This window comes from Homo sapiens, chromosome 1 (assembly GCF_000001405.40).
Source record: "Homo sapiens chromosome 1, GRCh38.p14 Primary Assembly".
NCBI lineage: Eukaryota > Metazoa > Chordata > Mammalia > Primates > Hominidae > Homo > Homo sapiens.
This window is the reverse complement of record NC_000001.11, coordinates 90,305,821-90,317,350: the sequence shown is the minus strand read 5'-3', so window position 1 is coordinate 90,317,350 and position 11,530 is coordinate 90,305,821.

The window sequence follows — 11,530 nt, the reverse complement described above, 5'->3', positions numbered from 1 at the left end:
ATATCCTGATTGTGTATTGTACTACAGTTTAGCAAGATGTTGCCATTGGGGGAAAACACTGGATCCCTCTACTATTTTTTTATTCTATTTTACTTTAAGTTCTGGGATACACGTGCAGAATGTGCAGATTTTTTACATAGGTATATATTTGCCATGGTGGTTTGCTTCATCTATCAATCTGTCATCTTGGTTTTAAGCCCTACATGCATTAGGTATTTGTCCTAATGCTCTCCCTCCCCTAGCCCCCAACCTCCAGACAGGCCCCAGTGTGTGATGTTCCCCTCCCCATGTCCATGTGTTCTCATTGTTCAACTCCCACTTATGAATGAGAACATGCAGTGTTTGGTTTTCTGTTCCTGTGTTAGTTTGCTGAGAATCATGGCTTCCAGCTTCATCCATGTCCCTGCAAAGGACACGAACTCATTCTTTTTATGGCTGCATAGTATTCCATGGTGTATATGTGCCACATTTTCTTTATCCAGTCTATCATTGATGGGCATTTGGGTTGGTTCCAAGTCTTTGCTATTTAAATAGTGCTGCAATAAATATACGTGTGCATGTGTCTTTATAGTAGAGTGATTTATCTGATTAAACTAAAGAGGTTCTGCAAGGCAAAAGAAACTATCATCAGAGTGAACAGGCAACCTACAGAATGGGAGAAAATTTTTGCAATCTACCCATCTGACAAAGGGCTAATATCCAGAATCGATCTATAAGGAACTTAAACAAATTTACAAGAAAAAAACAACCCCATCAAAAAGTGGGTGAAGGATATGAACAGACACTTCTCAAAAGAAGACATTTATGTGGCCAACAAACATACAAAAAAAAGCTAATCATCACTGGTTATTAGAGAAATGCAAATCAAAACCACAATGGGATACCATTTCATGCCAGTTAGAATGCCGATCATTAAAAAGTCAGGAAACAACAGATGCTGGCAAGGCTGTGGAGAAATAGGAACGCTTTTACACTGTTGGGGGGAGAGTAAATTAGTTCAACCATTGTGGAAGACAGTGTGGCGATTCCTCAAGGATCTAGAACCAGAAATACCATTTGACCCAACAATCCCATTACTGGGTGTATACCCAAAGGATTATAAACCTCTCTACTATTTTTTATAACTGTGTGTGAACCTACAATTATGTGACATTAAAATGTTTAATTGTTAAAAAGGAGGATATGATTGGATTTGGCAATAATTTCTTGGATACAACACCAAACGGATAGGCAACAAAAGAAAAAATAGACAAATTACACTTCATGGAAAGTTAAAAATTGTATGCATCAAAAGACACTATCAACATAGTGAAAGGGCAACTCACAGAATGGGAGAAAATATTTGCAAATTACATATCTGATAAGGGACTAATATGCAGAATATATAGCGAACTCCTGAAACTCGTCAGCCAAAAAGCAAGCAACCTGATTCAAAGATGAGTGAAGAACCTGAACAGACATTTCTCCAAAGAAGATATGTAAAATGGACAATAAGCTCAACATTACTAGTCATCAGGGAAATACAAAACAAAACTATGAGACACCACTTCACATCCATTAGAATGGCTACTGTTAAAAAAAAAAAAATACACACACAGCATTTGGAGCCCTTGTGCACTATTGATGGGAATGTAAATGGTACAGCTACTGTAGAAAACAGTATGGCCATCTCCCAAGAAACTAAAAATAGAATTAGCGTATGATTCAGCAAATCCACTTCTGGGTATATACACAAAAGAATTGAAAGCAGGATCTTGTACACCCACATTCATAGCAACAATATTCACAATAGCCAGAATGTGAAAGCAATCCAGGTGTTCCCTCAAAATTCCTGTTGAAATCCTAACCCCCAGTGTGATGGGTATTAGGAGATGGGGTCTTTGGGAGGTGATTTGGTCATGAGGGTTCCACACTCATGAACGAGATTAGTGCCCTTATAAAAGGGATCCTAGAGAGCTCTCTCACTCTCTTTCTGCCATGTGAGGGTACAATGAGAAGTCGGCAGTCTGCAACCTGGAAGAAGAACTGAACCATGCTGGCATCCTGAGCTTGGACTTGCAAGGCCCCTAAAACTGTGAGAAATCAATTTCTGTTTATAAGCCACCCAGTCCATGGTACTTGTTACAGCAGTCTGAACTGACTAAGACCAATGGTAAACTTTATGTTACATGTATTTTACCACAATTAAAAAAAAAAGTTTGAAAAAAGTAGGCAAAAGGGTGGGGGCAACCACAGACTTTATTAGTGCTTAATCAGAGCTATCCAGACATGGAAGAAAAGAAAAAATGTACTAGCATATACTTGATTAAAACTGGGATATGTTGCCAGGCTTTTCCAGAGTCTTAGTGAATTGCCCTGCAAGACCATCCCACTTCCTTTGCTCTCCATCTACGCTCACCATGCAGCTTTCTGATGTTCATTGGACCCTCAGCTGCACTGTCCACAGGGAGGAGAATCTGCGGAGACCAGAGTGGTCTAGGTTTGTTAGCATTTCTGAGTTCGTTGCAAGTAAATATCGGGCACTGTAGTTCACACAGCAGCCCCTGTGAGCACAGCTGAAGCCCCATTGTGCCCGCTGCCTCCCAGGTGCCCGGTGGAGCTAGGGTGCAGAGCCAAAGCAGAGGCCTGGCCTGGACTGCTGCACCTTCACCACGTGCTGCCACCCCATGTTCCTCTGCACAGCCTGCCAGCCTCGCTCCCTGCCATTCCATCCTGGCATTTGGCTTCAACTGAGACAAAACTGAGGAAGGCTGGCTCTGAGGGAGCACTGCAGCCTATGTCCTTTATCCCAAAAACAGAGAAATCTGCCTTTGAGATAAGAGCTCACAGTCCATGGCCTGCCTATTCATGATTTGTGAATTCTTTACCGCAGTTACCGCTTTTCCCTTCTAGGTTGCCTGGCAGCCAACATTATGTCTAACATATACACATGCATCTATTATATATACCAATATAACATATTTTCTTATTTCTTTCTTTTTCTCTTTCCACCTATTCCTGACACATAAAGATTCTTCATCCAATTCTGCTCACATCTTGCCAATTAAGACTCTTCCTGTGTCATTCATTGCTCTCCCAGTCTATATGTTACTTTAAGTTCAAACCTGGCAACCCTCCTCCTTGACACTACTGATGGGTAAGTGGCTCACATGGCACCAGGGAGAAAGGTGGGTTTCCCAGTGGCACAGGCATTTAATCCTACCCCACCCAGGAGCATGGGCTAGGCAGGCACTCCAGGGCCTGGGGACTGACTCACAGACCAAGGCCTTCTGGGATTTTAGAATTTTCTTACCCAGAAAATAGGATCAACACCACTGCCATCATGAATTATTCAACACCTGCCAGGGCTATTCCTTCATGAACAATGAAATAATGGAAGCTGACAAAATTGATTTCTGGTGAATTTTTAGTGACGTCAAGTTCATAGCAAGTGAGCAGGGGCTGGCAAAGCTCAGAGGAACTTGACCACAAGAACGGTCAGCCTGCAGTTTCCCTGGGAACATTGCCATTTGGTCAACAGTGCGGCTGAGCTGGGTGTCCTTTGTGAGGGTCCTTTTCCTCTCAGGGTTTGAGGGACATAAATGTACTGAAAAAACATAGTCACTTGGGCTTACCAAGCCAGTTCCCAGCCAGGAGGATGGGAGAGACTCTTGAAGCATTTCATGAAGCATTTGAATTGCTAGATAATTAGAAGATCAATAACATAATTTCAGCTGCTTAGCAGAGCGCTAAGAAAGAAAGGCTTCAACTCAGCATATTTTGAATTTTGCATTAGGGTTTCACTAATTAAAAGGAAAAAAATATTGGCAGCATGTCTAATCCTTCCATTAATCTCCCTCAACATATATTCTGCTGCTTGTTATTGTATAATCATTAAATGTAAAATATTAAACTGGACATTTGACTTTATTGATCACTTTATGGACTAAAGATACAGCAAGTAATTATCTGCCATGACAGATTTATTGATTGAGCTGTCATTGGAACAGCTGAAATTGACACATAGTTGATTATTATTCTAGTATGCTGTTTCCATCAATAATTTTGTCTCATTCTCTTTCTCATCAAGAATTGTATATTTATAGTTAATTTCTATTTAAGAACTCAAAAGAAGACTTTTTACCCTAAATAATGTGTGGTTAGTGTGTGGTTTTCTAGGTAGATCAGAAACACTGCAGTCTCAGCGTATAGACTTAGTTTTGTATACTTGGGTATTTTATCAATTCTGATGCAAGGTAACTTTTAACTGGCATTTATCTCTCTAAGCCTGCTTTTCCTACTTGAAAAATAATCTTATCTCTTCTGAATATTTTTTTCCTTCCTTACTCTGCTTGTTCTCTCAGCATTTACAATTCAGTTCAGTTTGCTAAAGAGGAGTAGGGCCTTTCCAATGTCCTGAACACCATTCAGGATGCTGGGGATACCAAGGTGGGGAAGGCAGAGTCCCTGCCCTCAGGGGAGTTTACAGCCTAGTGAAGGAGACTGGCCTGGACCCCAATAAAGCATGTAGAAGAGTCTGAGGAGGCAAAAGCTGAGTGTGGACAATATTTAGAACTAAGCAGCCTCCGGTTTCATTGTGACATAGGATTTTGTTTCCAAATCCTGTGCTAGCAACAAAGTCAAAGTCACCTACCAGATCCTGGGTATAGAGAATGGGATGGAAGGAGAAATTATTTTTAAATCTCATCCTGGAACATGCAAGAAGCTGTTCTTAGAGTTCATCATTTTCAGATTTAGCAGACTTCATGGATGATCTTTAACATACAGAGTTTCATGGAATTCCTTTCTTGGAATAGATTTGTAAAGAAGTCCTAATAAGGTGTTTTGCCTGTCTTCTTTATGTTTAGGTCATAAATACATAGTTGTACAATATATCTTCCTACATATAGTTCTTTCCATGGTTACTTTTATATTCTATATGTGCAGAGACCATGACTTGCAGGTTTTGTCTGTTTTTTTTTAACTTTCTTCCCATCCTTTTGTGTTTCTGCATTCAGTAGGTACTTAATAAATGATCATCGAAGCTTCTTTTGAGGTAGTTGTAGGGTAGTGACCCACTTAGAACAACCCAGTTTCCAAGAAGCTGAGTTCTAAATTTCAATTAAAAATTTGAATTTTGGCACAGAGTAGGTGTGCTTTAAACTTTTTTCAGGATACGTGGGACTAAGGAACTCAAGTCACCTTAAATGGTGGGGGCATGATGGCTCATAGCATGAATGAATGCAGTTGAAATCTATCTTACTTCAGCATCTCCAGAACACAGCCTGGAGTCATGGAAACAACATTGCACCCATGTTAGGAAGCCTAGGTTAAGGTTTCAGTGGCCCTGGGAAGTGACCCAACACTTTGGGTCTCATTTCTCGTTTGTTAAATAAGGTGATTGGGCCAGATACTCAGGAAAGGCATTTAGCACTCTGAAATTCCACTGTGCTATTTTGCTTTGAGTTAGGGTGCAGCCTCTGTGGCCTCTTACTTCACATATCTGGATAAAGAAAGATTGATTTGCTATTAAGTTGTTATTATTTCAGCTTTGGAAAGTACTTGTGAGTGAGCACAGTTATCTTTGAATTTCCAAGTAAATCTGCAGTATGTTTTCTTATACCTGTAGAGAACTGTAGGACAGTCTTTAGGACTAGAACTCAACATATTTTTAGGGTAGAGGTTCTCAATCTTATTTTTCTTCTCCTTTTTAATTTTTTTTAGAAATCTGATGAAAACTGCAATCCCTTTTCTAGAACAGTGATGGAACTCATAAGTACAGCATTTTGCCTATTATTTCATGGTGGTAAGAGGGAGCATTTCTATGCTGTTTCCAGGTTGGGAATCCCCCTCTAGGCCTATTGTAGGGGCAGGTTTTGCTCTGATGTGAATATTTTTGTTCTTTAACCCTCTGAGCTTTGCTACCTGCTAGCTACGTGACCACCAACAAATTGCTTAACCTTTCTGACTCCCTTTGGAAACACAGGAATAATAACACCAACTTGCAACTAGTTGGGAGCAGTAGCATTATGAGCTAAGGTAAGTAAAGCACCTAGTATCGTCCCTGATGTACAGCACTAGCTACTCACTCATAAAATGTTTTCCTAACCTTCCTCACTTTTTGAAAAATCTCAGTGCTAGCCATAGTGGCTCATGCCTGTGGCCCCAGAGCTTTGGGAGGCTGAGGCAAGGGGATTGCTTGAGGCCACAAGTTTAAGACCAGCCTGAGTAGCACAGCAAGACTGCATCTCTAGAAAAAAAAAAAAGAAAGAAAGATGAAAGAAACGAAGGAAGGAAGGAAGGAAGGAAGGAAGGAAGGAAGGAAGGAAGGAAGGAAGGAAAGAAGAAGGAAGAAAATTAAAAAAATTTTTAAACAGTATCAGTCAAACCTGTGTGACTATAAACCTTCCTTTTGCAGTGTGGAGTCCCAATTCTTTTTTGTATTATCCACACCCCTTTAACTACCACCCCCCAATTTTCTACTTTAACAATATTTGTATTGTTCACTCTTATACAACACACTTGTATTTCTACCTTTTTGTTTAAGAAATTTCTACTATTTAGAAATAGCACTATTGTGCTCCTTTTGCCAAAATGAAGTTCATTTTTAATTCTCCAGATTTTGCTACTTCTAAGGTAAAGCCTTAGTTACATTAGCATGGCCCAGAATTTCCTATTTTAAATCTTTCCTGGGGCTGAAAATTAATCTTTCCTTAGGCAGTATCTAAAGGGTATGCGTATTGAGTGATCTAAAGATCAATTAAACACTAACAGAGCTTCAGTAAAGAAACCGTTTCTTCACACGAAAAGAGGTAATAGTGATGCAAGTAGAATGCAGGAACATTGAGTTTAGTTTTCCTAGACACCTTAAGGAACACAGGGATAACTGCGGAAGCTAGTGGATTCCAAACTCTGCAGGTAACCTCACGCCTCCAGAGTCCAAGAGATACGGCAGAAAACTAACATTTATTGAGCAACAGTTACATGCCTGGTGGAAGTCAGAGGCTACAATACGATGGCCTACAGCCCACACACAACCCACCGATGTGGGTTTTCTTGGTTTTACTCTCACAGTCCTTTAACAAACTATAAACCTATCTTTTAAAGTGTATATTTTATATGTATTATACACACATTCACACGCATACACACAAGGATCTCATGGCTTCTCCTGAAAAATTAGAATATTCACCAACACTGAACTCAGATTCTTACACGGCAACAATACAGAGCAGCAGACACAGTCATTAGAGGGGTGCAAGCTCTTGATTCACCACAGTTCTTACCGTGCACTCACTGTATGAGTGCGTGCATATCACACATGGTGCCCTTGCTTCCCATTCACCCAACTTTGGTAGGCTCTCTCTCCGTATATATACAGATATGTGTGTGGTATGTGCATATTTGTGTGGTATGTGCATAATTAAGCTAGATAGAATCTAGCTTAATTTCTTTGATGTAGATTGTATTGGCTCTGTGTTACAAATGAGAAAATGTGCAGACCCTCAACTTACTTAGGGCACAGTTGAGAGGAGGCAGTAAAGAGTATCACCTGAACGTGCCTACCCAATGTAGTCCTAAAGGAATCACTTTCAGCATGGGCAGTTTTGTTCCTAGAGAACATTTGCCAATGTATGGAGGACATTTTTGGCGGTTATACATGGGAAAGGGGCATTTAGTGGATAGAGGCCAAAGATGCTGCTAAGCATCCTACAATGTGCAGGATCATTTACTGTAACAAAAAATTATCTGGTCCAAAATGTCAAAATGTTAATAGTGCTGAGGTTGAGAAACTCTTTGTGGTGCTTAATTTTAGGTGTTGACTGGATTAAGGAATACCTAGAGAAACCTGGTAAACCACTATTTTGGATGTGTCTGTGAGGGTGTTTCCAGAGGAGATGAGCATGTGAGTCTAAGTGGGCTAGGTGAAGATCCACGCTCAGTGGGGGTGGGCAACCATCTAATCGGCCAGGGGCCCAGAGAGAACAAATACAGAAGGCAAATTGATCTCTCTTGAAGAGCTGGGATAGACTCTTCCTCTGATGCTTTGGATGTCAGAACTTGAGAGTCGCCAGCTTCTGGATGCCAGGACTTACACCAGTGCCCCCAACCCAAGTTCTCAGGCTGTCATCCTCAGACTCAGAATTGCATCATTGGCTTCCCTGGTTCTGAGGCCTTCTGACTTGGACTGAACCACTGCCAGCATCTCAGGGGTTTCCAGCTTGCAGATGGCATGCTGTGGGACTTCTCAGCCTCCATAATCTCAAGAGCCAATTCCCCAATTGCTCTCCTCTCATATATCTATATCTATAACTATATGTATCTATAAATATATATCTATAAATATAGATATATATCCTGTTGGTTTTGTCTCTCTGGAGAACACTGACTAATGCAAATTTTGACATTAGAGAAACAGAATTTTAAGGTTAAATTTTCATAATTGGTTTTAGGTTTCCTGGAATTGGCTGTTTAATCTGATTAGACCTAAAAATGCTAAGGACTGTACTTCTAATAGTACAGACAGCACTGATAGCCCATGATGTGAACTGTTTATAGAGATACACAAAATAAATGCATTTGATATTCCAAATTCTTATAAGAGACAAAAAAATTTGTGACTCTATACATGATACTTTTGAACAGTTGTGGAAAACCAAAGAATATAAAGACATTTGCTGGCTGCTCCTAGTGTTGCTGGATGAAGTGATGAAAGAAAAGGATGAGCTCAGGGATTCTCTTTCTTGGATCAAGCTTGCATAAATGATCTGTGCCAGCAAGTAAGTGCAAAGAGATCACATGGTGAGACAGGAAGCAAGAGAGAGAGAAACCGAGGAAGCCAGAGTCTGTTCAACAACCTGCTCTGGCAGAAGCAAATGCATCCCTGTGGGAGCAAGAATTCACTTCTAATGTAATTCCAAAAGGACATTAATCTAGTCATGAAGGATCTGCCCCCATGACTCAAACACCTCCCACTAGACCCCACCTCCCAACACTGCCACATTGGGAATCAAATTCCAACGTGAATTTTGGCAAGGACAAACCACATTCAAACAATAGCAGCGTCTCTGTGGTAAAAAGAAGTAAGCATTTGTTCATCTAAAATCCTTTGCTTTTGTTTATATAGCACTGACTTAATTTACAACCCTTTTATGAGACCCACTTACAAAATTCAAATCCATGCTCCCATTTACTGACAGGCTCCAACAACCTGTCAGAAGACAGAATGGTTTGTTTTTAAGGTAAATTTGATAAGAAAAGAGTTTTTACAGTACTAAACTAATTATTAATTTATTGACAAGTTCAAGCTGTGGAAAGAAGGAAAATCTATCTTAACCAAGAAATGTTTCCTTACTCTAATTTTACTTGCAGTGATACATAACATGGTCAATATAAGCTGAACATCTTTAACATATTTATATTCTGTCACTTGTGTATTATTTGTTACACATCAAAACGAAATGCTTGAGGAAAAAGACATATCATAAGGAGTAACTGTTTACAACTGACCATAGGTGTTAAATTTGTCTTTAACTGGTTATTTTTTTTTCTTGTTAAAACACACATAAACCTAGGGAAGCTTCTATATTTTCTATATTCCTAACCCCAAATCTATGAGTATGTTGCTGGCATTGGACTGAAGTTTGCATTTACACTATCCGGGAAAAGATTTGCTGAGTTGTTTTATAGTATAAATAGATTACTGGGCATAAGTAAATGTGTTTTTAAAAAACAAACATAAAGAATTATGGTATTTGTCTTACTCCATTTTGTGTTGCTACAACAGAATACCACAGACTGGGTAATTTATAAGAAAAGAAATGTATTTCTCACAGTTCTGGAGACTAGGAAGTCCAATATCGAGGGGCCAGCATCTGGCAAGGGCCTCCTTGTCACATCATCCCATGGCCAAGGGCAGAAGGGCAAGAGAGCAGGAAAGAGTGAAAGGAGCTGAATTCATCCTTTGATCAGGAACCCACTCCCGCAACAACATTAATCCTTCATGGGGCAAAGCCCTCATGACCTAATCACCTCTTAAAGGTCCTACCTCTCAACACTGTTGCATTAGGGATTGACTTTCCAACACATGATCTTTGGAGAACACATTCAAACCATAGCAGTACTAATCATATTTATATCAATAATTAATATGATTATTATAAATGAACATCAATTTATAAACACAGAAATGAAGATTTATATTAATTCATTCATTCATCCAAGCATTTGTTTTTCATTTCTTTATTCAACACAGATGGGTCAGAAGCTGTCTAGGTACAAACTGAAAATTGTGCCAGAGCTTCATTGTTGGCTTAGATTACATCACGAACTTTTTTCTCATGAGGATTTCCAAGGAACCTGGCAAAATGTTAGGTCAAAAACAGTGTTTTCATGATGGGCTGTGGGCCTCTCATGACAGAATTTTTTGGCATGTCCATAAAAATGCAGATTCCTGGGCCATACTCCAGCTCTCTATTAAGAAAGCTCTGTGTGAGGTCTATAGACATTTACAGTTAATGGATTCTTCAGATGATTCTCAAAGATCTCAAGTTTGAACCTCACTCTTTGAGATTCTCTTACTCTTCATGCCATCCCTTCTGACCCCCTTTGCTTCAGTATTTTTTCTCCATTTTCTACACTACCTTATTAATTTCAACAGTCTTTAACTTTCCTGACCCAACCTAAATCCAAGGGATGGAAATTAGTAGTTGAAGACGTAAAACAACAACAAAGAGGATGAATATTAACACCAAGAAAGACCCTACGTCATGAAATAGGACCTCAATCCTCACGTGTCCTTTTTCCTCTTTTATTCTGTTTCTTATAGTTGAAAGGTAATGACTTTGGTCATTGTACTCTTGAAATTACCTATGAGTTACAGCAGAGTGAGTGATTCTTCGCTAGGCTGTGCATCAAAATCACCTGTATTCCATAGGTTCATCAAGCTGGAAGAAATAGTACAACTTATCTAGAGTTACAGAGAATATATATATATATGTATATCCAAAATTGAACCACAAGAGATGAAAACCACCATATCTGAGATGAAAAATACTCAAGATAGAATTAACAACAAAAGAATTATTTTTTAAAAGATTAGTAAACTTGAAGACATGACAATAGTAACTATCCAAAATGAAACACACAGAAAATTAAATGTTTAAAAAATCAATAAGCTGTGGGACAGCTTCAAGTTACCTAATACATATGCAACTGAAGTTCCCAAAGGAAAGAATACAACACCAAAACCATGCTGTGTAAAAGAACAAATTGATAAATAGAAAGTTAAAATTGCAAGCTTCTGCTCTTCAAAGACTCTGTTAGGAGAATAAAAAAACAAGCCTTAGACTGGGAGAAAATATCTGCAAATTATATGTTTGGTAAAATACTTATATCCAGAATATATAAATAACTCTTTAAAATTGAATAGTAAGGAAACAACTAAATAGGTCAAAGGTTTGAACAGATAACTTCCATTCAAAGATTTATTGTTGGCAAATGAGCACATGAAAAAATGCTTGATATCCTTAATCACTAGGGAAGTGCTACT